The sequence below is a fragment of the Homo sapiens genome, chromosome 7 (assembly GCF_000001405.40).
Source record: "Homo sapiens chromosome 7, GRCh38.p14 Primary Assembly".
Lineage (NCBI taxonomy): Eukaryota > Metazoa > Chordata > Mammalia > Primates > Hominidae > Homo > Homo sapiens.
In genome coordinates, this window is record NC_000007.14 from 6922183 (window position 1) to 6949585 (window position 27403).

Sequence of the window (27403 nt, forward strand, 5' to 3'; positions counted from 1 at the left end):
GCCAACGTGGTGAAATCCCATCTCTACTAAAAATACAAAAATTAGCTGGGCTTTGTGGTGGGTGCCTGAAATTCCAGCTATTCCGGAGGCTGAGGCAGGAGAATCACTTGAACCCAGGAGGCGAGGTTGCAGTGAGCTGAGATTGCACAAAGGCGCTCCAGCCTGGGCGACAGAGTGAGACCCTGTCTCAAAAAATAAAGAAAGAAATAAAAATAAATTGAGGAAGGATTGAGCATGCAAAATAGAATCAGCCTTTGACCCTGAATACCCTGCAGTGAGAATTCCCCTGTGGTTCTCAGGCTTCTGTCATTCCAGCAAATACACTCTTCCCTCAGCTTCACTAAAATGCAGATATTGTGAGATAATGCTCATTTCTCACAGCTTGCTTGAATAATAACAATGATCATTATAGTAATTTATAACTTAATAGTCAACATTGCCTTTTTAACCCAGTCTGTGAGACTGAATCGTAAACGTGACATTCTTTAAAGCTGTCAATTAATATACCAGACTGCATAAACTCTAATAACTTACCTTTCCATGGAAAGAGAATATGTGGGTATTCTCTTTGAAGACAAATGGTGGAGAGTAGACTCTCATCCAAGACCCTCTGGCAGTAATGAGTTGCATTCCAGAAGGTTCCAGAAGGTTCTGTGGAAGGCTGCAGTTTGGGATTGGTTCTCAGGTGTCTGTCTAACTGCTTTCTAAGGATGAAGACGGCCGGGCACGGTGGCTCACGCCTATAATCCCAGCACTTTGGGAGGCCAAGACGGGCGGATCACGAGGTCAGGAGATCGAGACCATCCTTGTTAACACTGTGAAACCTCGTCTCTACTAAAAATACAAAAAATTAGCCGGCGTGGTGGTGAGCACCTGTAGTCCCAGCTACTCCAGAGGCTGAGGAAGGAGAATGGCATGAACCCGGGAGGCGGGGCTTGCAGTGAGCCGAGATCGCGCCACTGCACTCCAGCCTGGGTGACAGAGCGAGACTCCGTCTCAAAAGAAAAAAAAAAAAGGATGAAAACTCCTGGTTCGTGCTTTAGCAACATCCACAGGAGCAACAGACTAAGACATTCCTCCACACACTAACAGACCCCGGCAGTGCAGAGCCACGTGGGTCTTATCTGTCCTGTTGTCCACAGTCTGGTTTTATCTTAGACCTGGCCTGGTGCAATCCATGCTGCGTATAGGCACGCCACTTAAGTTTCCTGTTTGTAAAAAGCCCCTTTCATTCAGTGATTCCTCAGGGCTTTAGGGGAACTTTCTGGAAACCAGGAAGAAGGAAATAAAGGTTGTTTTACTGAGGATGGGTGACATTGGGTGCGGGACCCAAATGAGTGGTTTGAGCAGAAAGTAGCCTCCACGCTGGACTAATGCTTGGCAACATTATGGGAAAATTTGAGGAAGCCGGGAGAGGAGGGGGCAGAGTTTCTTTCCCAGCCAGCCACGGGGGCCAGGCAGTTTTGGTCCTAGGATGTCTCTATGCATTCCCAAGTGATTGCAAGGCTTCTTCTTGTCATCGTCTGAGACTTGGATTCCCCAAGCGTCCTTCTTTTCCTGGAGTCTCTGAGTCCTCTATTCCTGAGGCCTTTCTTCAGCCCTCCCAATAGCCCTGCCATGATTTCATTGCAGGGCTGTGACCGTCTATGACAAGCCGGCATCTTTCTTTAAAGGGACACCTCTGGACCTGCAGCACAGGCTCTTCATGAAGCTGGGCGGCATGCACTCTCCGTTCAGGGCCCGGTAGGCCTCCCATCCTCAGCTGCTTTCTCTCCTGCTCACCACTGCCCTGGCCTCTCCCCTTCTCACTGCAGACCTGGGAACACACTCATCCAGGGGTTGGCATACTAAGGCAACCGGCCAGTCTCCTGCTTTGGTAAGTCAAGTTTCATTGGGACACAACACACTCATTGCCTTCTGAGTTGTCTACAGCCGCCTTTGAGCTACAATAGCAGAATCGTGTTTTGCAACAGAGAACCCGTGGCCTGCAAAGCCTGAAGTATTTACTCTCTGGCCCTTTAAGAAACGTTTGTGGACCCCTGTGCTGTCTTACTCTCCTGCCAGTGGGTTCCCAGGCCTGTGGCAGGATCTGTGGACCTGTGGGTCCCCTGGGGTGTCTCACGGGGCTAAGGAGGGACCTTTGTGCAGATCCACACACCCTAAGGTGTGCCCCTGGGTAAGCTGCGGTGGTGTGGGAGGGCGTCCCTGCACCCTCATATTGAGTCCAGGGGATGATAAGACAGTAAGTCCCACGGAGAAAAGGAATGAGTCAGTCTTGTTTGCTGTTGTAACCTTAGCACCCAGCAACAATATTAGAGAAAGGAAGCCCAGGCCTCGATGGCAGGGGTGGCCTGGTGCTGCTGATGTGGCCGGGCACCCCAACCTTTGGGAGCCTGCAGGCCTTGCCATGGCAGGAGAAGCCTGTCCTGGGTCCTGGGCCTGCTCTGTGGCCTCTCACAGGCTTTTTTCCTGCTCTTTCAGTTTAGAACCTGAGGAACCAGCCACGGAGCCGTCGGCCTTCATGGAGCGGGATGCTGGGAGCGGGCTGGTGATGTGTCTCTGCGAGTGGCCAGCCCTGCTGGTCAGCAGCACAGGCTGGACAGGTCTGCACGACCCCTGGAACACTTGGGCTTGGTGTGACGGGCACCTGGCCAATCTGTATTCTCCTCACCCCTGCCAGTCCTGCATGCCCCCACCCTGCCACAGTCTCAATGAGAAGGGGAGGGCGTGTGAGCTGGAAGAGGGGTGTCTAGAAACAGGCCCCTGACATTCAATTCTCTTCTCATAGAGGACGAAGACTTCTCCATCCTGCTGGCAGCTTTAGAAAGTAGGGGTGTAGCTGTGGTGAGGAGCTCTGGGCTTGTCGGGGGCCACTGAGCTGTGAGCTGCTTGCCTGGCCTGCAGCATGTTCCTGTCCCGGGCCACTGGGTGGGGCAGCCTGGGGACAGCGGAGGTGGTGGAGGTGGGCTGCCCTGAATCCCCAGTTGGGTCATTGAGTGACCAGGCCCTCAGGCTGAAATGCCTCCTCCAGGAGAGTATCTCACAGAGGCTGGTGGCCTCCCCACAAGAGCAGTGCTCTTTCTCCAACTGACCAGGTGACTCTGGCTATTGTTTATTTAAAACTTTTTTTCTGAATGGGCATGGTGGCTCACACCTGTAATCCTAGAACTCTGGGAGGCTGAGGCAGGCAGATCACCTGAGTTCAGGAGTTTGAGGCCAACATGGCAAAACCTGTCTCTACTAAAAATACAAAAATTAGCTGGGTATGGTGGTGGGCGCCTGTAATCCCAGCTACTTGGGAGGCTGATGCATGAGAATTACTTGAACCCAGGAGGCAGAGGTTGCAGTGAGCTGAGATCATGCCACTGCATTCCAGCCTGGGTGACAGAGCAAGAGTCTGTCAGAAAAACAAACAAAAAAAGAAATTCTATCAGAAATTCCATGTAGAATTGTTTCTTTTTTTAAACACAGAGTTTGAGCAACTGACTCTTGATGGACACAACCTTCCTTCTCTCGTCTGTATAACAGGTACCGCCTGGGACCCTGGGTGTCTGTTTGATTGGGGGATGGTGGAGGGGGAGGGGCACGCAGCCTTTACCCTGTGCTTCCCACGATCTTGTCTCCTTAATCTTCACTGCAGCTCTCTGCATAGGGTCTTATACTGCTTGACGTGGGGGAAACTGTGGCTCAGAGGATTTCACAGCAGGGCAGGGAGCCCAGATTAGAATCTGTAGATACCAAGCTTTCTACTTTTTCAGTAGTTTCCAAGCATCTTTTTGTTGTTGTTGTTACATCATTAGTGTCTTTTTTTCTTTTTTTTTTTTTTTTTGAGACAGAGTCTCTGTCGCCCAGGCTGGGGTGCAGTGGTGTGATCTTGGCTCACTGCAACCTCCGCCTCTCACATTCAAGCAATTCTCATGCCTTAGCCTCCCGAGTAGCTGGGACTACAGGGGCCCACCACACCCAGCTAACTTTTGTATTTTTAGTAGAAACAGGTTTCACCATGTTGGCCAGGCTGGTCTTGAACTCCTGACCTCAGGTGATCCACCCACCTTGGCCTCCCAATATGCTCGAATTATAGGCACGAACCACTGTGCCTGGCCATGTCATTGGTGCCTTAACCAAGCCTCTTTTAATTTTTCAAACGGAAGAGCCCCTGTGCCACAGTTACTGCTGCTGAGCCCTTTCAAGGTGACTCAGTGAGGAGGGAGAAAAGCGGAAGTGGTGTGGGAAGAGGCGGGGTCTGGGCCAGCTGCTGGTCCTGCTCTCCTCCCTCCTCTGGCCTCTAGGCTCCCAGGAGTGGTTTGGAGCCCGCGCCATGTGCTCTGGAGGCTGTGGCAGGGCAGGGGGAGTCCTCGTGTCCCCTGTGCACAACACAGACAAAAGGCTGGGTCCACCCAGTGGGGGGTCGGGTGCCAGGCCGGTGCTTACCCCGCCATGTTTGCAGCCCGAGGCCAGCTGGCTGCAAGTGCAGGGCTGTGCGTCAGGGGTCAGGGTGCACACACCCCTGCGGGTCTCGGGGCTCCTGGGATGCTTCCCGAAGGGCCCGGATGGGGCCTGACTGGAGCTGCCGAGGGGTGGAGCTTCTGGGAAAGGGATCCCTCCTAGCGGGGAGTGTCTTGGGCCTGGGGCCACTTGGTAGGGTCAGAGACGGGTCCATAGCAGTATCTGCTCTTCTCTGTGAAGGCAAAGGGCCTCTGACGGAGTATTACAGCTGCCTCATCCACCAGAAGCATTTCCAGCACATCCAGGTCAGCACCCCTTGGCTGGAGGCCGAGGACTAGCCCCTGCTTCTAGGTGAGAGGCCAGCAGGAGGCTCAGGGAGGAGGCGGGGCCTTAAGCAGCGGGAACAGAGGTGGGCGGGATGTACTTTTTCTGAAAAGGTGGCTCTGGAGGCCACTTGGGGACAGGACCTGGGCTCTGGCTGAACTCCCGGGAGGAGGCTACTTCCTGGTGTGCCAGCCCCTCCCTGCCAGGTGGCCCCAGAGGCCCTTTACCAAGGGGTTTGAGGAGGCCATGTCCTTTCAGCCTGCCACGCCCTCCATTCAGTCCTCTTCCTTCCTGCAGGAGGGCTGGGCCTGGGGTTGGGGCACTGTTGCCCAGGTGTGGGAGGGCAGTGGCTTTGGGAGGTACAGGGACGATGTGTCAAACAGCGTCGCTTCTCCCAGTGAGATGGTTCTCCTTTGCCTCCGTCTCTTTCCCCGATTGATTTTTCCAAATGGGGAGTCGTGGCTTGGTCCTGATGCGTCTCTAGAGCTGCATCTTCCAGCTTCAAGTGAGCAGAGCAGTTGGAGGCTGAGGGCCTTTTCCTGGCAGGACTCTCCAGCTAGTCTTTGTTTTAGACAGTCTCGCTCCGTTGCCTAGGCTGGAGTGCACGATCTCAGTTCATGCAACCTCTGCATCCTGGGTTCAAGCGATTCTCCCACCTCAGCCTCCTGAGTAGATTACGGGATTACAGGAGCCCGCCACAACACCTGGCTTATTTTTGTATTTTTAGTAGAAACAGGGTTTCACCATGTTGGCCAGGCTGGTCTTGAACTCCTGACCTCAAGTGATCCTCCCGCCTTGGCCCCCCTAAATGCTGGGATTCCAGGCGTGACCCATCACGCCTGGCCCCAGCTAGTCTTCAGAAATATTAAGCTGTTTCGCTTTGTTTTCACACTGACAGCTGGTTTGTGGTGGGTGTGCTGTGGTTTATTATTATTACTGTTATTATTATTATTATTATTTTGAGACAGAGTTTCGCTCTTGTAGCCCAGGCTGGAGTGCAATGGCACGATCTTGGCTCACTGCAACCTCTGCCTTCCAGGGTTCAAGCGATTATCCTGCCTCAGCCTCCTGAGTAGCTGGGATTACAGACAGCTGCCACGATGCTTCGCTAATTTTGTATTTTTTTTAGTAGAGATGGGGTTTCACCATGTTGGCCAGCCTGGTCTTGAACTCCTGACCTCAGGTGATCTGCCCGCCTTGGGCTCCCAAAATGCTGGGATTACATGCGGGAGGTGAACCTGGGAGGTGGAGGTTGCAGTGAGCTGAGATTGTGCCACTGCACTCCAGCCTGGGTGACAGAGTGAGACTGTCTCAAAACAAAACAAAACAAAATGACAACAAAAAAAAAACAAATTGTGGTTAAGTAGAAAAAGTGTCAACTTACATTTTCAGATGTCCCAGCCAGGCCGTGTGGCTGCTTGGCCGGCTTAAGCCACTTGTGCTTGGTGCTGTCGGGTGCCTTATCCGATTTTCACTCCCCTCAGGGGATGTTGCCTCACTGTGCTGGGAGGATTTGTGTTCCCAGGGCAGAGACCAGTGCTCTGACCGCACCCCTCTTGCCTAGCAGGGTCGGTGGACCTGGGTGTCTGTCTGCACACGTTCTCCAGTGGCCTGGACCTGCCCATGAAGGTGGTGGACATGTTCGGGTGCTATTTGCCTGCGTGTGCCGTGAACTTCAAGTGGTAGGAGCAGAACCCGAATCTTTCTAGGGATAGCTTCACAGATCCACCGCTGAGGGGGAAGCAGTGCAGAGGGAGCTGCCCACAGTGAGGCCCTGCCCCTCGGTCAGTCCAGCACACACTGGAGGCCACGAGGAGGAGCCCTGCGGTTACTGTGGCTGGGCTGAGCCTCACTGAAGTAGTTGCTTCCATTTAGAGCTCATGTTATATTTAGGCTGGTACAAAAGTAATCACGGTTTTTGCCATTAAAGATGGCAATTACTTTTGCACCAACCTAATATGAAAAAAAAGCATCTTAAATACTAGAACTCCACTCGGGGCTTTTGCTCCTGGAGTAGAATTGGCGGGAATTGCCTGCAGGCTTACATGGTCTTCTTTGTTTCTTTCTCTCCCACCATGTCCCTTTTGGCCAAGCTCACGTGGTGGGTTTGAATCAGTTGAATGAGTGTCATGCTGTGGCCTCACTCCACCCAGCATAGACGGGTGTTTGGAAGGGCACTGTTAGAGGAGATTCTAGAAGCAGTAGCCCCAGCACAAGCTGAGCCCTTGGCCCCTGCTCAGGAGCCGGCTCATGGATGGGATTCAGCGATGTGAGCCCCTCCTGTGAGCTGAGCTCAGGGAATGTCGGGATCAAATCTGGTGCCCTAGAAAAGTCATCTTTTATGTGCTGAGCCAGTCCCCAGGGTGTTCCCTTTACTTGTTCCATGGCCATGGAATTAAGAAAAACATGCAAAAATAATTCTTCAGTCCTTGAAGAGCATCCAGCACAGAAGGTACAAACCCCCCTTAAGGCTCCCTCCTCAAATCGGTTTGGCCACTTAGATGTGCACCCCCCCAGGCCTTTATACCCTTCAGATGCCAAATCTAAGAACGAGCTCCCGGAAACCACACCCCCTGTTCCAACCCCCAGCCTGGCTTGAGCATGGGGTTGGGGGGGTGGAGCCCAGGTGGGCACCCCAGGGGTCTGGTGTCTTCTCCAGGCAGCTCTCAGGCTCCCTTGGTTCTCTCTGCAGTTTAAATGAGCTGGTGAAACATGAAGAAAATGGCCTGGTCTTTGAGGACTCAGAGGAACTGGCAGCTCAGCTGCAGGTAGCCACATCTGCCACCACGCCAGGGTGGGGAGGGTTCTGGAGACTGGCTCCGAGCCACGCTCCCTGATCCCTTCTTCCCACAGCCAGGGTGGGACCATGTAGGGTCTGGCGGAAAAGCTAGGGAGAGAGCAGAGGTCACAGGCCGGCCCACTCTGCTGTCCCGTTTTGGTACAGTAGGCTCAGGAAAGTTAGGACACACCCCCACCTGCCCTCTGGATTTATGGAGCTGACACTCCACAAATGATGCTGGAGCCGGGTGGGCCAGGCTGCAGTTTAGGAAGTGATCAGGATCACGTAGGTGGGCGGGCAAAGGGAGCTTCTGGGACCAGCCTTGAAAGATGGGTGGAATTCTGCAAAGGTTACTTGTTTCTTATTGCTAAAAGTAATACACCATTCTTGCCAACAGAATGATTGGCAGGATTTTCAGTAAAGGTCCAGGTCGGAAGTCATTTAGACTGGGTCCCCCAGTCTCTGTCAGAACCATGGTACTGACATGTGGTGTGAAAGTAGCCACAGATCATCTGTCGATTAAGGGGTGTGGCTCTGTTCAAATAAAACTTTATTTACAAACACAGGCTGTGGGCTGGATTTGGCCTGCAGGCTGTAGTTTGTGATCCTTGATTCAGACAGTTTAGCAAGGCTGCAAAGAACACAGACACCCCCTTGTTACCCACAGATGGGTGGGACATGGCCAGAGGCCAAAAGGAGGGTGCTTGCAGGGGAACATACAGCATGTAGAGGCCGGGAGGTACTCCAGGGCACCAAGTGTGGGAAAGTGGGACACACGGGGAAGTTTCCAGAAAGCGTGATGTCAAGTTGGAGGCAGAGCGCTGCTGGGGTGTGAAGAGTCTCGAGTCCAAGTGAGGGAGTTAAGAACTTGGGAGGGGTTGTTGTTGGGTTGGGGACATGGGGTCAGCCAGGTGGTGACCTGGGATGGGGTGGGGACAGGAAATGAGTTAAGCTCTGCTCTTTATTTTTTTGCAGATGCTTTTCTCAAACTTTCCTGATCCTGCAGGCAAGCTAAACCAGTTCCGGAAGAACCTGCGGTAATCGCAGCAGCTCGGATGGGATGAGAGCTGGGTGCAGACTGTGCTCCCTTTGGTTATGGACACATAACTCCTGGGCCAGAGGCTAAAACCCCGGGACCCCTGCTGTCCTTCCCGCAGCTTCTTCTCGGAGTCTCAGGGCAAACCCTTTCGAGCAGCGCCTCCCAGTGGCCAGAAGGTGAAATGACGGCAGTGGTGCCGCCTGGTGAATGAATTGGTTCTGTGACCCGGGAAGCTGTGCTTGGTTCTGATTTCTTTTCTGGAGGCTCAGAAACACTTCCTCTCTTCTTCTGTTCTTCATGCCCCATGCCCCTGCTAGCGTATTACTGTTCTGTGACTTCTGCAGTACTCCTTATCCTGCGTTTGGTCTCCAGGTGTCATCTTTCTGCCGTGTTCCTAACATTTTGATTCCTGTCTTGAAAAAAGCACCTGCTGCACCGTAAGCCCAGGGATGTGGCAGCTGCAGCGGGCTTGGCTTTGTGAAGAACCGAGTGTGTCCACGGATGTGGCAGCTGCAGCGGGCTTGGCTTTGTGAGGAACCGAGTGTGTTCAGGGATGTGGCAGCTGCAGCGGGCTTGGCTTTGTGGGGAACAGAGTGTGTCCACGTTGGGGGAACATCATACTTGATACACACTTTTTATTTGCACAAAGAAAATGCTGTTTTTGGAGCCAGAGTTTTCATGTCTGATTGATGGCGATTTTCTTCAGAACCAGAACTGCTGGCAGAAAGGGAGCACCCACACGCTTAGATAGCTGATGTCTTATTAGAGGGCAGTTTGTGGTTCCTGATTTGGAAATTAACATTCTCCAAACATTCCAGTCCAATGAAAGTTTTATCTGCTTTCCCATATAAAAACTCTTCCCACAAGAGTGACTTGATTCTCACAATCCCGTTGGAGTCGTGTGTGAATCCTACAGTGTGAGGTTCAGCATTGCCATCTCCAAGTGCTCTTCGTAGGGAAATAGTTTCTGGTCATGACGAGGGTTCCACTTCCCATCTGATCCTGGCCTGCCTGGAAACAGAGGACATGTGTTTCAGGATGGCAGAGTTTGGGGACAGGACATGAGCGTATTGTGTGGGGCTGCTAGGACAGGCCTGGCGGGGTCGGGGGGTGTCCAAGTCAGTTTACTTGGTTCACAGGTTCCCAGGCCCACCCAGGTGCCTAGAATTGGCCTCCAGGATGGGACCAGAAATCTGGTTTTGCATAGAAATGGCTAGCAGCAGGCACCGTGCCGCTGTCCAGTCTCTGCCCGCGTCTGCCCCAGCACTTGGCACAGCGGGACAGACGCAGAGATCTGAACCCACATCTACCTGGCTGCTCAGTCAACCCACTCTCCACAAAGCTTAGAAAGCAGCCAGGCACAGTGGCTCACGCCTGTAATCCCAACACTTTGGGAGGCCAAGGCGGGTGGATCACTTGAGATCAGGAGTTCGAGACCAGCCTGGCCAACATGGTGAAACCCCATCTATACAAAAATACAAAAATTAGGCAGGCACGATGGCAGGTGCCTGTAATCCCAGCTACTTGGGAGGCTGAGGCAGGAGAATTGCTTGAACCCAGGAGGCGGAGTTTGCAGTGAGCCGAGATTGTGCCACTGCACTCGAGCCTGAGTGACAGAGTGAGACTCCATCTCAAAAAAAAAAAAAAAAAATCACACACACACACACACACACACACACACACACACACACACACACACAGCTTAGAAGGGGCTGGTGTTCTCATAAGCACAGATATCTGAAGAGCCGTTAGCCAGAATGATTCTTTTTTTTTTTTTTTTTTTTGAGATACGATCTTGTTCTGTCACCCAGGCTGGAGTGCAGTGGCACAGTCATTGCTCACTACAGCCTCGACTCCTGGGCTCTAGCAATCCTCCCACTTCCTGAGTAGCTGGGATGACAGGTGCGTGCCACCATGCTAGTAATTTTTTTATTTTGTAGAGATGGGGTCCGGAATGCATGGCCTCAAGTGATGCTCCTGCCTCAGCCTCTTTTATTATTATTTTTTAGACAGAGTTTTACTCTGTTCCCAAGGCTGGAGTGCAGTGGTGCAATCTCAGCTCACTGCAATGCATCCCAGGTTCAAGTGATTCTCCTGCCTCAGTCTCCCGAGTAGCTGGGATTATAGGCGTGCACCGCCAAGCCTGGCTAATTTTTGTGTTTTTAGTAGAGATGGGGTTTCACCGTGTTGGCCAGGCTGGTCTTGAACTCTTGACCTCAAGTGATCCGCTCACCTCAGCCTCCCAAAGCCTCAGCCTCTAACAGTGTTGGGATTACAGGCGTGAGACACTGTGTCCTGGGATGATTTTCAATCACAGTTTTTTGTTACGAGTGGAAAATGCATATTTATAAAAATGAAGTAGTACAGACATGAACGTGTAGAAGTCTCTATAATCCTGCCATCCAAGGATGGCACCTGTTAACGTGTATATCAGGTATGTCCAATCTTTTGGTCTCCCTGCACCACATTGGAAGAAGAAGAATCGCCTTGGGCCACACATAAAATACACTAATGCTAGCAATAGCTGATGAGCTAAAAGAAAAAAAAATCACAAAAAAACCTCGTACTGTTTTAAGAAAGTTTACAGATTTGTGTTGGGCCGCAGGTTGGACGAGCCTGCTATATATATATTCTAGGTTTTCCCCTATAGGTATACTTATGTGAAAATGATTATTGTGATAATTTTATTTTGAGATGAAGTCTTGCTATGTTGCTCAAGGGGGCCACAAACTCCTGGGCTTAAGCCATCCTCCCGCCTCAGCCTCCTGAGTAGTTGGGAATATAGGTACTCATAACTATGTGTGGGTGATTATTATTATTTTTAAAACAAAAATGGGGCTGGGTGCAGTAGCTCATGCCTGTAATCCTAACACTTTGGGAGGCTGAGGCAGCAGATCGCTTGAGGTCAGGAGTTCAAGACCAGCCTGGCCAACATGGCGAAACCTCGACTCTACAAAAAATACAAAAATCAGCCAGGCGTGGTAGCACGCACCTGTAGTCCCAGCTGCTCAGGAGGCTGAGATGGGAGGATAGCTTGAACCTGGGAGGTGGGAGGTTGCAGTGGGCCGAGATGGCACCACTGCACTCCAGCCTGGGCAATACAAAGCCAGACTCTGTCTCAAAAAAAAAAAAAAAAAAAAAAGGTGGATTGGGGCTTATACTATGTGTGCTGCTTGGCACTCTTTTTTTCACTTCAAAGATATTGCAGGTATTTTTTCACATAAGTATCTGAAGAAAGACTTCCTTTTTTTTTTTTTTTTTTTTTTTTTTGCATTTTTGAGACAGGGTCTTGCTCTGTTGCCCAGCCTAGAGTGCAGTCGTGAGATCAGGGCTCACTGCAGCCTCCACCTCCTGGGCTCAAGCCATCCTCCCACCTCAGCCTCCCAAGTAGTTGCGCAACCATGCCCGACTAGTTTCTGTACGTTTTGTGGAGATGGGGTCCCACTATGTTTTCCAGGTAGGTCTTGAACTCCTGGTGTCAAGAAGTCCCCCTGCCTTAGCCTCCTAAAGTGCTGGGATGACAGGCCCGAGCCTCGCACCCGGCCAGCCTCCTGTGCGAGGTTGTGCGGGACTCTGTCGTGGAACCCAGTGTGTCTTCGTGTGCTGGCTTGTTTGTTGGCTCTGTAGTTAACGGGCTGCCCCACGTGGACAGGCATTGGACCCGTGTCTCTCTGTGCAGGCAGAGGCTGCTGCACGTGCATCTGTGAACATGGCTGCCAAGAGGGGCTGTGCTCAGGGGGAGCTGGGGCAGAGGCTGGTGGCAATGGGGGGCTTGGGTGTAGTGTGGAGGCACGAGAGCCAGGTGGCCGGGCTACAGTCTGTGGGAGCTTGGGGGTTGCTTGTCCTCTGTGTGTCCCAGTGTCTTTGTCGGTGAGATGGGACAATGATAGCACACTCTCACAGGTGCTGGGGGCTGACAAATGTCAGGTCTGAGGACAGTGGCTGGCCCACTACGGGGCCAGTTCCCCTACTCTATAGTCACCCTGCTCGTCTTCCATCAACTGGGTGCTCAGGACAGTGGCATGGTGGATCCGCCTGTACAGCCTGTGCTCCAGCGTCCTGCAGGCCACAGCGGTGTCCAGCCCTGACCATGACTGCCCCTCCCGCCACCTCCATTTTATAGATGAGGAAACCGAGGCCCAAGGGCTTAGGGAATCTTGCTCTGAAGCACACAGTAGGGCTGCTGGGCTCAGATCCTCCCTCCCTGTGCTGAGCTGCCCTCCTCCTGCCGCAAGTCCCCCACGCCATGAGCCCACCCTGCTCACCGGCCTCTGCCCTAGTTCCCCGCATGGTGTGGGAGTGTGGGGCTTCCTAGCTTTTACCCTGCCCTCAGTTCTTTCACTTCCACTGGAGTCCCGCAGGGACAGCTCCGGGACCATGCAGGCCCGGGTGGGCGTGGGGGCTCAGCTAGCTCGGTGGTGAACAGCTGGCACGTCTCTTGGTTGCGGACGGTAAGGGCCACATAGACTTGAGGAGCCCGTTGGTGTTCCCGGTAGGCAGCCAGCCTCCGCAGGACCCCGACCAGCGACACAATGGCTTCTGGGCAATACGGCACGTCTACGGTGAAAGCTTCAGATTACTGAAGGGGACCAGCGGACAGTTCCAGGTCATGCTGACCTCAGCAGAAGGGCGAGGCCAGAGAGGCAGCGGTCATATGAGACTAGTAGATGCCATTTGACCATTTGGGCCATTAGATGGAAAGGCAATTACTTGGGTGAAAAAGGAGAACCCTTAGTAGAGAAAGCTGCAAAAGACCGAAGCAAAAGAAAAAATCTCCAGACTCACTGGTGTTCCTTAAAAAACGAGCTCTGGTTCTCGGCCTATCTAGAGGGCTGTGAATGACACAAAGCCTGACCCTGCCATGAACTTCGTGTTTCAGGCGTCTGCCGATTTGTCTGCTGGCTTGCAGGGGTGGGCCTGTGTCCCTGGCCACTGCTGGACCTGTGGTTTTCAGGGCTGGGACCCAGGACCACAGGCAGAGCTCTGTTCGACCCGAGAGGAGACTGAGTGTGCTGGCAGGGGCGAGGGGTTTTCGGTGGCCCAGCCAAACACCACCTTCTCTCAAGGGCCCTGTCCTCATCCCAGAAGTGGTTGTTTTCCTCCTGTGGTCTCTGAAAGACACAGGCATGGCTCTGGGACAGAGCCATGTGGTGATGACTGTAATGGGAGTATGCCTGTCTCCAAAAAGAGGGCTGTGGCTGTAAGGTCACCTTAAGAGGCACCCCTGTCCTTTGATGTCACCCTGGAGGCCCAGAGTAACTCTTCTGGAAGCCCCATCATGTCCATGCCCAACAGCGTCCATCGTTCCCTTTTCCCAGAGCCCAGAGCTGGGTAGAGCTGCAAGGACACCGCCTGCACAGGGTGCCCGGGGCTGGGCATTACCTGCTGCAGTGACAACATCTGGCTGGATGGCAGAGAGCTGACGGACTGTCGCGACATCCCAGTCCAGCTGGGCCACTGTCACCCTGGGGTTGTCTAAGTTGGCAGAGATGTCTGCCTCTAATGAGAGGCCATTGAGAAGGATATTCCCTCGGAGCTTCTTGAGGACCCGGCTGTGACAGTCGCTGAAGATATATGCCCGGGGGAGGCACATCTTGCAGATGGCCAGGCCTGTGAGGCCGGCGCCACTGCCAAGCTCTAGGACAGTCCTGGCGGGAGGAAAGGGGACCATGTCTGCGACTGCACCAGGGTAAGCCTGCCTCGGTGCCCTGCCATGCACCCCGAGGTCACCTATGAGAGAAGGCTGCCGGGTTCTCAATGGCCCATTCTGCAAGGTAGAGGGCAGCATCTCATGTGACCAGGCCTGTGATGCCGTGGGAGATGATGGCTGTGCTCTCAGAGAGTGTGACTGAGCCTCCCGAGGGCTGCACCAAGAGAGGGCGAGAGAGTCAGTCCAGCGATCAGAAGGCAAGTGGCTTAGAAGACAAGTAGCCATCCACCACATGGCTGAATAAACCATGACAGGACCAATCGCCACTCAGCAATGAGAAGCAACTAACTGTTGACATGCCAACAGCTTGCACGGGCCTCAAGGGTGTCATGTGGCATGAAAGACACTCATCTCAGGCCACACAGGATTCCATTCATTGAACATTCCTGAGACAACGGAATTCTGGTGATAGAGCACAGGTCAGTGGTGGCCAGGGGCCGGGTGTGGCTATGAAGGGGTGGCTGCCTTGTGATGATTCAATATGCTATGTTTTTCCTTTGTGGTTTTCTGTATCTATGTTTTATCTTATTTTTTTTGAGCTCTGTTCCCCAGGCTGGAGTCAGTGGCACAATCTTGGCTCACTGCAACCTCTGCCTCCTGGGTTCAAGCAATTCTCCTGCCTCAGCCGCCCAAGTAGGTGCAACTACAGGCATGTGCCACCATGTCTGGCTCATTTTTCTACTTTTTTTTGAGACAGAGTTTCACTCTCGTTGCCCAGGCAGGAGTGCAATGGCGTGATCTTGGCTCACTACAACCTCCTCCTCCTGGGTTCAAGAGATTCTCCTGCCTCAGCCTCCCGAATAGCTGGGATTAGAGGCACCCACTACCACACCCGCTAATTTTTGTATTTTTAGTAAAGAGAGTTTCACCATGTTGGCCAGGCTGGTCTCAAACTCCTGACCTCAGGTGATCCACCTGCCTCAGCCTCCCAAAGTGCTGGGATTACAGGCATGAGCCACCACGCCCGGCCTAATTTTTGTATTTTTAGTAGAGACAGGGTTTCACCATATTGGCCAGGCTGGTCTTGAACTCCTGACCTCGGATCCACCCGCCTCAGCCTCCCAAAGTGCTGGGATTACAGGTGTGAGCCACCACACCCGGACCTGTCAAGTATTCTTTGAGGAATGGACACCAGGTCCTTGTGAAGGAGGTAGAGTGTGTCACCTATTGGACAAATGCCCAACAACCCCATGAGACATGCTGTTGTTGTTGAAGTGCTTGATTTACAGACAGGGAAACTGAGGCTAAAGAAGGTTGACGGACCTCATGTCTAAGACTGCAGAATGGGTGAGTCAGGATTTGAACCCACACCCACGTTTTCACTTTGTCTGTGCAGGAAGGGTATCTGGGCTGTGAGGGGGAGGAGGGTGCCCTTCTTATACCAGCAAATAGCTCCGGTGGCCCTGGGTGGACTCCTTGGCCATCAGGGTCTCCGCCAGCGCCTCGTACAGCTCGTCCAAAGGCTCCGTGTGGACAGCCTCCTGCTGGGGGCAGGCAGAGTGAGAGCTTGTTTGCTTTCGTTCTAATCTGTAAAAATGGTCAGATGATTTCACCAAGTTTGGAGGGGAGATTTGGGATGGAATGGTGTAATACTGGCCAGCTGGCATATAAAATATTCACTTCATTGGGCTTGGTGGTGTGTGCCGAATAGTCCCAGCTACTCTAGAGGCTGACATGGGAGGACTGCTTGAGCCCAGGAGTTCGAGGACAGCCTGGGCAAGAGACCTTGTCTCTAAAAAAAAAATTCACTTGGTAGGGAAACCTGGATGGGAGGGCCTTCAACGAGAGGTGTTGAGAGGGTAGTGTTAGGTGTAGTCTAGGGCAGGAGACAAGGATCCGTGAGAGCTGCCACATGACCATGACAGAGAGGAGGAAAACAAAAGGTGCTTTTAAGTGAGCCCAGGCAGAACTGTGAGGGCGGCCCATGCTGTAGGCTGTGGCTGTCAGCAGGCTGCTTCTCCACGGCTGGCCCCATCCTAAGATTCACAGGGCAGCAGCAAGATACACTGGGTGACTGCTGCCCTCTCCTGGTGGCACAGGGCAGACCTGCTGGTGACTACAGATGCACCCTTTTGGGGAGGATTAGGGAGAAAGCAGGTATTGGAGAAGCAGGGGATTGTTTACTTGCTAAAAGTGTGGCCCTTTCACTCAGCAGGTCTGCTACTGCCTACTGAGGAATGGCCTCTCGACATCCTTATGTCAAACGCTGCATGTTCGGGCCCATCTTTAAAATCCATCCTAGGCCAGGTGCGGTGGCTCATGCCTGTAATCCCAGCACATTGGGAGGCCGAGGCAGGTGGATCACCTGAGGTCAGGAGTTCGAGACCAGCCTGGCCAACATGGTGAAACTCTGTCTCTACTAAAAATACAAAAATTATCCAGGCATGGTGGCATGTGCCTGTAGTCCCAGCTTCTTAGGAGGCTAGGTACGAGAGTTGCTTGAACCCAGGAGGCAGAGGTTTCAGGGAGCCGAGACTGTGCCACAGTAATCCAGCCTGGGCAACACAGTGAGACTCTGTCTCAAAAAAATAAATAAGTAAAAAATAAAATCCATCCTGTATCAGTCAGGAAAGAGCACATTCCAGCAGGATCAATGCGGAGAATTCACCAGAGGAACTAGTTCCAAAGTTATGGCAAGAGCTAAACCTTCCAACAGGGGCCCGTGGGGCAACCCAGAGACAGACAAGAGTAGGAAACTCCAAACCCTTCGGCGGGTAGGACAGAGGGTGTGGGTGAGGGTTCCAGTGCTGTGGGCTGGGCCAGCCTGGTAGGAATGAGAATCCATATGCTAGGAGCTGGGGCCCCAGAGCAGCAGCTGCGGCAGAAACCCCAGGAGGCAGAGTGAGGGAGAGACGCTGGCCTCCCCTTCTTCCCATCCTGCATTGTCTCCCATGGGTCACACGCGGCTGCAGCCAGTTGCCTGGTTAGGCCCCTGCCACGCTGGGGTTTGCAAAGCAGGCCCAGGGCCTGGGAAGGACGGGGGCTCCAGCACGCAGGTGGCTATGCTGTCTGGCTACTGGGCGGACACTCCCCATAACTGACCTTTTTGATGAGTTCTGAGAGAAAGCACCGGGCATACTTGACTGACGGCCGGTGCTTCACACACACAGGATGCTTCACAGTCTACCGCAAAGGACAGAACGTTGGTTGCTCGAGAGCCCGTCTTAAGCCTCCTATGAGCTTCAAGCCAACACAGCAGAGGGCAAACTCCAGGCTACCCGATCCCCCAGCAAAGATGTAGATGGACACAGCGTTCTGGCCCCATGCATCTGAAGTTTGTCTTATGATATAAGCCGTTTCCTAAAAATGCTTCCACTGCAGTGGCACAGGCTATGGCAGCATTTCTAACGCCCATTCTGAGCAAGAACGCAGGGCACGTGGGCCCAAACCACCTCCCTCCCAGGGGAGCCAGTGTGAACCAGGGTTTACAGTGAGGACAGTCGCCAACTGTCTGGCTCTATGGAAGAGGCGGGAAGGCCCACTCGGCAACTGCTCTCTTGGAGCGTGTGTCCCTGGGGACAGGATGGAGGGGAGGGGACGCTCAGGGTGACACCCCAGCTAAAGCCGAGAGAAGCCGAGTGCAGGACGAGCAAGTTCCAGGCAGTGGCAACAGCTGGTGCAAGCTCTGAGGTGGCCGCGGCCTGGCACTTGGAACGGAGGGCAGAGGGACTGCTGCAGCAGGAGCGGGGACAGCGGGAAAACAGGAGCCTGGAGGGAGAGGGAGGAGACGGTCCGCAGCGCCTGCTGGCTGGGAGGGATGCAGATTCTGCCCAAGGGCAGCAAAGTACCCCACGCAATACACAGGCTCTTCAGGCTGCTGCTGGTTTTTCATTTTTTCTGACACAGTCTCGCTCTGTTGCCCAGGGTGGATGGCAGTGGCCCGATCTTGGCTCACTGCAGCCTCCGCCTCCTGGGTTCAAGCGATTCTCCTGCCTCAGCCTCCCGAGTAGCTGGGACTATAGGCGTGCACCACCACGCACAGCTAATTTTTGTATTTTTAGTAGAGATGGGTTTTTGCCATGTTGGCTAGGCCGGTCTTGAACTCCTGACCTTAGGTGATCTGTCCACCTCGGCTTCCCAAAGTTCTGGAATTACAGGTGTGAGCCAGTGCGCCCAGCCTTGTGCTGGGTTTTAAAGCAGCTATCCCTGCATTTCATGCTTCACCACCTACGAGAGTGAGGCTCAGGGTGAAACTCAGAGCAGGGTGCAAGATAACTGCAGGTATCTCCATGTTCGAAGCCCTGACCTACTGCATTGACCTGAAAGTTGCTTGAGCCCAGGAGTTGGAGGCTGTAGTGAGCTATGATTGTGCCACTGCACTCCAGCCTGGGTAAGAGAGTGAGGCTCTGTCTCAAAAACCGAAGAAAACAAAAAACAAAAAACAGATGCTATGTCCCATTCCAGAGGTTGAGGTTTAATTATTCTGGGGTGGGGTGTGACCTGGGTTTTGGAACACTGAAAAAATCCCAGGTGATCCTAAAGTGTAGATGAGTCTGGAAACCACACACCTAAGGCACACTTGAATGGGGGAGCAGTGAGGTGGTGTGGGCTAGCCGGCCAGAACCCAGGGGTGGGAACCAACATTGCAGATGCCATAAAGGCTGGGAAGCATAGTGTCTGGGGCCCATAACAATGCTTGGACATGAATGCTTTAGACCTAAGACAATTGGCTCCTAAATGTGAAAACTGCAAGGCTGAAATGAATGCATGTTTAATGCTTTGCAACATTGTCAAGTGGTCAGCTGCAACTCCGTTCTGAGGGCGTGATGCCTGAGATACGCCTGTCATGGCGGTTGATTTTAATGAATTTAATATGGTGTGGAGTGGGGCCTTCAAAAGTAAAAACGTCAGTTCTAAGTTGGTTGCGGGGGTCTGGGCAAAGGTCTTCAAACCCCGTGGTAAACACCCCGATTTTAAAACAGGGCCTTTTTTCCAAGAGACTTTTTGAAAATAGCTCCTATTTTGAGGGGAGGAACCCTGGCGGGAGAGAGCCAGAGTTAAGCCCAGCTGAGAGGGGGTTGGCAGGCACGGGCCTGCCTGGTCCTCACTGAAACTTGCTACTCAGGGTGAGCTTCCTAAACCAATGCAGACTTGCTGGCCCACTGAGCCTCCCAGCTGAGAACCTGCATTTCGACAAGGTCCTCAGTGCAGCAAAGTTTGAGATATACTGGGCTAGAGCACCCAGGGGACCTAAAGGTTCTTTGAATACTAAGGAAAATAGGCAGGGTGTGGTGGCTCATGCCTGTAATCCTTGTATTTTGGGAGGCCAAGGTGGGTGGATCACTTGAGGTCAGGAGTTCGAGACCAGCCTGGACCAATATGGTGAAACACCGTCTCTACAAAAGATACAAAAATTAGCCAGGTGCAGTGGCAGGTACCTGTAGTCCCAGCTACATGGGGAGCTGAGACAGGAGAATCGATTGAACCTGGGAGGCGGAAGTTGCAGTGGCCCGAGATCGCACCACTGCACTCCAGTCTGGTGACAGAGTGAGACTCCATCTAAAAAAATAAAAAATAAATAAAATAAATATAAATACTGGACTAGAAGACCCAGGAGACCCGAAGATTCTCTCAAAACTAAGGAAAATAATCTAGGTCACAAATATATTCTCTTTCTCCTTCTCCCCATTGCCCCCCCCTGCCAGTAATCTTTATAGACTCAAATAGAGTTGATGTTCTATAATCAATTCTAGTCACTTTTATTTATATTTATTTATTTTAGAGATGGGGGTCTCACTATGTTGATCAGGCTGGTCCCAAATTCCTGGGCTCGAGTGATCCATCCACCTCAGTCTCCCAAAGTTCTGGGATTACAGGCATCAGCCACTGCACTTGGCCATCACTTTTATTTTTGATGTTCAAATTATAAGCTAATATCTGTGAGACCATAGATTCTTTTTATGCACTCAATACATTTTTGTGTTTACCTTACATTTTTATTATGGAAAAGATTCTGTTTTTTCGACTTGTTTCTATTTGATAATGAAGCCCTCTGTGCCTATCACCAGCCTCAGCCGCCATCATCTCATTACCAAGCTGGGTTATTTGGAAGCAAATATCTTCAATATTTAGCCAGTGTTCAAATTTCCCCAACCATCCTAAATGAGTGTTTAGAATAGTTGTTTCATTGGAAACAAGGTCAAAACAAGTACATTTTACATTTTTAGGCCAGTCTTGAAAGTAAGTGTAAAACCATGTGTGGGGTAGGAGGTGGGACTAGCCTCTCAAGGTGGGGCCTGCATACCAGACCCAATTGAGGACTAGCTAAGACAGATTCCACAATGAATAACACCAGGAGGTGGGAATATTAAGGTCCATTGCAAAGGTTGGCTACCACAATTATTTGATCAACTAGTTATCAACCCTGACTGCAGCTGAGAGAGATTTCTTTTTGCTTTTTTTTTTTTTTTTCAGAGACAGGGTCTTGCTATGTTGCCCAGGCTGGACTCAAACTCCTGGGCTCAAGTGATTCTTCTGCCTCAGTCTCCCGAGTAGCTGAGACTACAGGTGTGTGCCACTGTGCCCAGCAAGATATTAAAATATACGTATGCACGGACACCACTCTAAACCAACTAAATCAGAATCAGATACTGTGAAGTCATTAATCATTTTGCTCCTGGGTCTTTTTGACAGTTTTGCTCCTGGGAAACTCCTGGCAATGTGTTAGAGAGAAAGAGATGGGAAAATAAGATTTTAAGAAGTGTTGCTATGCATTTTGAAAATAATTTTTCTTTGGTGTTGGTCTTGAGGGACGGCGGTAAACATTTCAATTGCCTTTAAGTATGCTTGCATGCTGGAATGATGGTTCTCTGAATGCAGCAACGAACTGGCATTGGGCCACATGGCAGCCAGTGTGAGCCTTTATGCCACATTTATAAAACATGAATGTCATGAGCCCACTCTCAGGGACCTTACAATTTGGAGGGTTAGGTCAGATCCACAAATCTCCTCTATCTCATGGTAAAGGAAACCTGGCGTGTAGCAGGAGATGGTGTGATAACAATGTCATATTGCATGATCAATATTTGTATTCTTCTTGGCAATATTAAACTTTCGGACCCCCTCCATTGTGTCATCAATTTGCTTAATACAGTTTCTGCTTCAGCGTCGGTTTTTAGGCCTGGCATAAGCTGTTTGAAACCCAAGCACGTACCCCGCCCATCATCTTTGGCCTAGTTAACACCTCCCCTCCCTGTGTGGTGGTTTGGAGAACCTGCTTGTTCCTCATCCCACTGATCCCAAACCCAGGACACCCCACAGCTGCTGACCAGGATTAAACCTAACAGAGATTTAATGCCTTTCTTCTGATTCTCAGGGACTGACATTCATTCACTTAAATACTTGCAGAGTCAGCCAGGCGTGGTGGCTCACACCTGTAATCCCAGCACTTTGGGAGGCCGATGTGGGTGGATCACGAGGTCAAGAGTTCGAGACCAGCCTGGCCAACATGGTGAAACCCCATCTCTACTAAAAATACAAAAATTAACTGGTGTAGCAGTGCGTGCCTGTAATCCCAGCTACTCAGGAGGCTGAGGCAGGGGATTTGCTTGAACCTGGGAGGTGGAGGTTGCAGTGAGCCAAGATTATGCCATTGCACTCCAGCCTGGGCAGCAGAGCGAGACTCTGTCTCAAAAAACAAAAAACCCAAAAACTTGCAGAGTGAATTTAGGAAACCATGAAGTCCAGAGTTTGATCCAATCCCTTCCTTTTTCTCTTTCTCAAATATTTTGAGCCAGGTACTATTCTAGATTGTCTTGTGATATTTACAATCTAGGAGAAGGCAGGAGAGAGAACTAAGAACAGAGAGCATGTTCTGAGATGTCTGCTGTGCTTGCAGGTACCTTCCCTCAATTTCCCTGCTCATTGGCCATGCTAGAAAGCAGGTCTTGGCGCCATATTTGTACCATGGTACTTCCCCTCCCTATACTCAATTGGTTGGCCAGAAGCCCAATTGTCGTTCTCTCTCTCTCTCTCTCTCTCTCTCTCTCTCTCTCTCTCTCTCTCTCTCTCCCTCTCCCTCTCTCCTCCCTCCCTCCCTCCCACTCCAAGATATCCAGTAACTGACTGATCAGCTGGTGGTGGGCTCTGCTGGCTGCCATGATGGGCCACCAGCAAGAAGGGAAAATTGGTTGTGAGTGAGAGAAGCAGAGATAAGGAAGTCCACAGGGCTGATAGGAAAGACCATGGGCTGCCGGGCACGGTGGCTCACGCCTATAATCCCAGCACTTTGGGAGGCCAAGACGGGCGGATCACGAGGTCAGGAGATCGAGACCATCCTGGCTCGCATGGTGAAACCCCGTCTCTACTAAAAATATAAAAAATTAGCCAGGTGTGGTGGCGAGTGCCTGTAGTCCCAGCTAATTGGGAGGCTGAGGTGGGAGAATGGCATGAACCCCGGGAGGTGGAGCTTGCAGTGAGCTGAGATCGCACGACTGCACTCCAGCCTGGGCGACAGAGCAAGACTGTGTCTCAAAAAAAATGGGCTTCTGAGAGCCAGAAAGAGGCATTTTGGTTTCTGTAACTGCAGTTTCCATTCTCTCATGGCCTCTCATTTATTTCTCGTGCCCATGAGTTTGCCTATTAGAGATAAGGTGTGCTCCTTTCCCTCCAGCTCATGCAAATGGATTTCTGTTTCTTACAATCATTGTTCCCAGATATGGATGGTGACTGATGCTCTACTAAATGCTGAAAAAAAGCAGAGTGGAAGCACAGAAAAGAGGGCTTCTCTGAGGAGGTGACGTTAGAGCCCAGTTGGAAGGCAGGAGTAAATGTGCACCATGATTTTTTAGGATTAAAACCAAGTATCTCACTGCTTGGGCACATGTAGATAGAGGTGATTTAAGAGTAAACTGTCCCAGTGGTACCCATTGTCAGTTACCTCACCACAGGGATTATGTAGCCCTGAGTTTGCTTAGTGCTTATTTATTTTAGGTTGTTGTTTATCCAAACCTCTTAAATGGTAAGCGTTTCAAACAAGTGACAGCATCGTTCATTGATGTTGTGGACAAACCACTATTTTATTACTCAAGACTGGGTAATTTATAAAGAAAAAGAGGTTTAATGGGCTCACAGTTCCATGTGGCTGAAGAAGCCTCAAAATCATGGTGGAAGGCAAAAGGCACATCTTACATGGTGGCAGACAACAGTGATGAGAGCTATTTTAGTCATTGTTCACTGGCCATAGAATTTACTTCTATATTTTGAACTAAGACAAGAGCCAGGCACACAAGACCGTTACAGGTCTGTCTTTTGTTTTTGATGATGATGATGATGATGATGATGAAATGGCTGACATGGTTCATGACTTGCTTTTTCTCATCATCTCAGACCTAGATTTTTGGCTGGACTATTGTCTTGAGATAGATGAAAATCATTCCTTGTATCCCCTGATCTTAAAGTCAAGACTGAACCAGCCTCCAGACGCAAGCCTTCATGGGGCTTCAGATACCATGAGGAATGGGCGTCCCTGCAATATTGTCATGGCTGTCAAAAGTGTTATTGGAGCTGGGCAAGTGGGCGCTCTCCTGCCACTGCATCCTGCTTAGATTTTCCATTCAACATCAATCTTATTTCCTTTTTTTTTTTTTTTTTGACAGTCTCACTCTGTCTCCTAGGCTGGAGTGCAGTGGTGGGATCTCGGCTCACTACAGTCTCCACCTCCCAGGTTTAAGTGATTCTTGTGCCTCAGCCTCCCAAGTAGCTGAGATTGTGGGTGCACACCATCAAGCGTGGCTCGTTTTTTTTTTTGTATTTTTAGTAGAGACAGGGTTTCGCCATGTTGGCCAGGCTGGTCTTGAACTCCTGACCTCAAGCGATCCACCTACCTTGGCCTCTCAAAGTGCTGGGATTACAGGTGTGAGTCACCGTACCTGGCCCCATTTCCTCTTATACCATAAGTCATTGCCCGCAGATGTGTTTTCTCCATTAGTTTGCAAAAGCTTCCGGAGAGTAGGTCTGTGCCTCATTTATTCTGGAATCTTCCTGGCACAAAGCACAGGGCTTTATCCTCAGTAGGCATCCAACAAATGTTTAATTTCATTCAACAGCTCCTCTTACCACTGCCCCCACCTTATTTGCAGGTGGCTAAGTACAATCAGAACAAGTAGGTATCATAAGATTTAGTCCAGAGTCAATCCGGGAAGAAATTACCTTAGTGATGTGAAAAGAAACCAAGCTCTTTAGTCAGAATGTTTCTGAGAGTATCCCCTGTCCAAGCATTTGCGGAATTTCGATCTACTAATTTTCAGGTGGAACAGTATGGTTGCAGAGTCCATTTGGACATAGATACACTTTCATGCATTCATGTCTTTAACAATAATTTGTGGCCCTACTGTGTTTGTTCACTAACTCCTTTGAACCTACCATATAAGCTATATATTTCCCTTGTAATTTGGGAGGTCCAATGCTTCATTAAGCTCACATGCCTGAAACTAATGAAGAAAATAGCTCGTTAACCAGCTAGTATAAAAATAGCCACCAAAACAAGTCAATCACCCGCCTTAAATCAGCTCATTACTCCCATCTTGAGTGGAGAAGCCCTTTCTGAATCACATTCAAGACACTGATGGAAGAACAGCTCTGTCTGGGTATCAAAACCACGCTCACCCCACATCCTCTTCCCCAGAGTTCTACTCATTTCTCACCCACTGAACCCAGAACAAACCAGAAGTGCTTGAAATGAGGACGGGTAGCTCCGTGTACCAATTGGAATTTAAAACTATATCAATTCCTGCTATAGAAATGAGGCTTCTCCCCAGGACCAGCATTCCATGAAGGCAGCCCTTCTCTAGATGGAGAAATAGAACCTGAAGGCACCCGTTTCCCTAAACTGCTCTTGCTCATGTGTAAGTACAAATGAAAAATGCTGAGGCTGCTTCTGTTGGCATTGCTTTATAATTACGGCCATCAATAAATCATTTTATCCTTGAACAAGACTTGAGAATGGCCCGAAGGCAGAGGCATGATTCCTTAGGAATTAGGCCAACAGAGAATGGGCTATCTCTCTTCCCACCTCTTCTCTTACTCTGCTGTCAGAAACAGAAAAGTTCTCTGTGAGTAGCTGGGAGCAGACGGCGGCACTCGAGTTCCATCTGGGGGTTCTGTTGACACAGTTTTACCCCAGCCTGCCTTGATGGCCACTGCCACACAAGCTGCATCTGTTCTTTCTTCTGCGCCTTTTGTTACTTCGTTATTTTTCCTCTTTCTAGTGTAGTGAGCTGAATGGTGGATTTGCACAAGATATATCCAGATCCTTGTGCCTAGAATCTGTTGAGGTGGCATTATTTGGAAAAAGGGTCTTTGCAGATGTAATTAAGTTAAGGATCTTGAGATGAGATTCTCCTGGGGTATTTTAGGTAGGCTGTACATCTAAAGACAAGTGTCCTTATAAGAGGACACTACTGTCCGGGCGCAGTGGCTCACACCTGTAATCCCAGCACTTTGGGAGGCCGAGGCGGGTGGATCACCTCAGGCCAGGAGTTTGAGACCAGCCTGACCAACATGGAGAAACCCCATCTCTACTAAAAATACAAAATTAGCCGGGCATGGTGGCGCATGCCTGCAATCCCAGCTACTGGGGAGGCTGAGGCAAGAGAGTTGCTTGAATCCAGGAGGAGGAGGTGGCAGTGAGCTGAGGTCATGCCATTGCACTCCAGCCTGGGCAACAAGAGTGAAACTCCTTCTCAAAAAAAAAAAAAAAAAAAAAAATAGGACACTCTTTTTCATGCACGTCCGTGTGAAGAGACCACAAAACAGGCTTTTTGTGAGCAATAAAGCTGTTTATTTCACCTGGGTGCATGTGGGCTGAGTCCAAAAAGAGAGTCAGCGAAGGGAGATAGGGGTGGGGCCATTTTATAGGATTTGGGTAGGTAAAGGAAAAAGGGGTGCTCTCTGGCAGGCAGGAGTGGGGGTCACAAGGTGCTCAGTAGGGGAGCTTTTGAGCCAGGATGAGCAAGGAGAAGGAATTTCACAAGATAATGTCATCAGTTAAGGCAGGAACAGGCCATTTTCATTTATTTTATAGTGGAATGTCATCAGTTAAGGCAGGAACCGGCCATCTGGATGTGTACATGCAGGTCACAGGGGATATGATGGCTTAGCTTGGGCTCAGAGGTCTGACGTTCCTGTCTTCTTATATTAATACGAAAAATAAAATGAAATAGTGGTAAAGTATTAGGATGGTGAAAATTTTTTGGGGGTGGTATGGAGAGATAATGGGCGATGTTTCTAAGGGCTGCTTCAAGGGGGATTAGGGGTGGCATGGGAACCTTGAGTCGAGAGATTAAGCTGAAGGAAGATTTTGTGGTAAGGGGTGATATTGTAGGGTTGTTAGAAGAAACATTTGTCATTTAGAATTATTGGTGATGGCCTGTATACAGTTTTGTATGAATTGAAAAACTAAACGGAATAAGAGAAGGAGAAAAACAGGCATTAAAGGACGAAGAATTGGGAGGACCTAGGACATCTAATTAGAGAGTGCCTAAGGAGGTTCAGCATAGCCTTGCCAGCAAAGATTATTTATTTAAGAGTTAAGAGTGGTGGTTTGGGGATAGCACCAGGAGATATCACCTGTGATGGCTTGGAGAAACAGTGTAAACCACCAGTGTAAACAAGAGCAGGGCATATATGAGTAGTTGAGAACGGTGAATAGAAGTATGACTAGACAGAAGACAGTAGGGATGACAAGTTTTTTGGGGCACAGTCCAAGTTGGTCTTGTGTCTGGAATGAGACTGGGGCCTAATAAAAAGGAGCGTCTATACAGGAGCTCAAGTGGGCTGTACCTTATAGCATTCCAAGGACAGGCCTGACTTCTGAGAAGGGAAAGTGGTAAAAGTATTGTCCAGTCCTTTTTACGTTGGTGGCTGAGCTTGGTAAGATGTGTTTTTAAAAGACCATTAGTCTGTTCTACCTTTCCTGAGGACTGAGGACTGTAAGGGATATAAAGGTTTCACTGAATACCAGGAGCCTGAAAAAATGCTTGGCTGACTTGATTACTAAAGGCCGGTCTGCTATCAGACTGTATAGAGGTGGGAAGGCTAAACTGAGGAATTATGTCTGACAGAAGGGAAGAAATGACCTTGGTGGTCTTCTTACACCCTGTGGGAA

At 50.6% G+C, this 27403-nt stretch overlaps 2 pseudogenes, besides 10 other annotated features; one reads left to right on the forward strand and one right to left on the reverse strand.

Annotated features, from left to right (window-relative positions):
- Window positions 1630-9649, forward strand: ALG1L5P (ALG1 like 5, pseudogene; annotated as a pseudogene).
- Window positions 4278-4337: an enhancer, noted in NCBI's record as "active region_25635". NCBI's record gives its function as "activates an Ori minimal core promoter by ATAC-STARR-seq in GM12878 lymphoblastoid cells {active_cell/tissue: GM12878}" and the evidence as "EXISTENCE:reporter gene assay evidence [ECO:0000049][PMID:35858748]".
- Window positions 4478-4527: an enhancer, noted in NCBI's record as "active region_25636". NCBI's record gives its function as "activates an Ori minimal core promoter by ATAC-STARR-seq in GM12878 lymphoblastoid cells {active_cell/tissue: GM12878}" and the evidence as "EXISTENCE:reporter gene assay evidence [ECO:0000049][PMID:35858748]".
- Window positions 4682-5444: an enhancer, noted in NCBI's record as "H3K4me1 hESC enhancer chr7:6966495-6967257 (GRCh37/hg19 assembly coordinates)". NCBI's record gives its function as "activates a minimal SCP1, AML or CMV promoter by ChIP-STARR-seq in naive H9 embryonic stem cells {active_cell/tissue: H9 hESC(naive)}" and the evidence as "EXISTENCE:reporter gene assay evidence [ECO:0000049][PMID:30033119]".
- Window positions 6136-6430: a silencer, noted in NCBI's record as "tiled region #12753; K562 Repressive DNase matched - State 8:EnhW". NCBI's record gives its function as "represses a minimal TATA promoter and a strong SV40 promoter by Sharpr-MPRA in K562 cells {active_cell/tissue: K562}" and the evidence as "EXISTENCE:reporter gene assay evidence [ECO:0000049][PMID:27701403]".
- Window positions 6136-6430: an enhancer, noted in NCBI's record as "tiled region #12753; HepG2 Activating non-DNase unmatched - State 4:PromP". NCBI's record gives its function as "activates a minimal TATA promoter and a strong SV40 promoter by Sharpr-MPRA in HepG2 cells {active_cell/tissue: HepG2}" and the evidence as "EXISTENCE:reporter gene assay evidence [ECO:0000049][PMID:27701403]".
- Window positions 6136-6493: a biological region, named in NCBI's record as "Sharpr-MPRA regulatory region 12753".
- Window positions 6204-6493: an enhancer, noted in NCBI's record as "active region_25637". NCBI's record gives its function as "activates an Ori minimal core promoter by ATAC-STARR-seq in GM12878 lymphoblastoid cells {active_cell/tissue: GM12878}" and the evidence as "EXISTENCE:reporter gene assay evidence [ECO:0000049][PMID:35858748]".
- FAM86LP (family with sequence similarity 86 member L, pseudogene) lies at window positions 8598-17431 on the reverse strand (annotated as a pseudogene).
- Window positions 16151-16210: a silencer, noted in NCBI's record as "silent region_17960". NCBI's record gives its function as "represses an Ori minimal core promoter by ATAC-STARR-seq in GM12878 lymphoblastoid cells {active_cell/tissue: GM12878}" and the evidence as "EXISTENCE:reporter gene assay evidence [ECO:0000049][PMID:35858748]".
- Window positions 25529-26029: an enhancer, noted in NCBI's record as "H3K27ac hESC enhancer chr7:6987342-6987842 (GRCh37/hg19 assembly coordinates)". NCBI's record gives its function as "activates a minimal SCP1, AML or CMV promoter by ChIP-STARR-seq in primed H9 embryonic stem cells {active_cell/tissue: H9 hESC(primed)}" and the evidence as "EXISTENCE:reporter gene assay evidence [ECO:0000049][PMID:30033119]".
- Window positions 26030-26530: an enhancer, noted in NCBI's record as "H3K27ac hESC enhancer chr7:6987843-6988343 (GRCh37/hg19 assembly coordinates)". NCBI's record gives its function as "activates a minimal SCP1, AML or CMV promoter by ChIP-STARR-seq in primed H9 embryonic stem cells {active_cell/tissue: H9 hESC(primed)}" and the evidence as "EXISTENCE:reporter gene assay evidence [ECO:0000049][PMID:30033119]".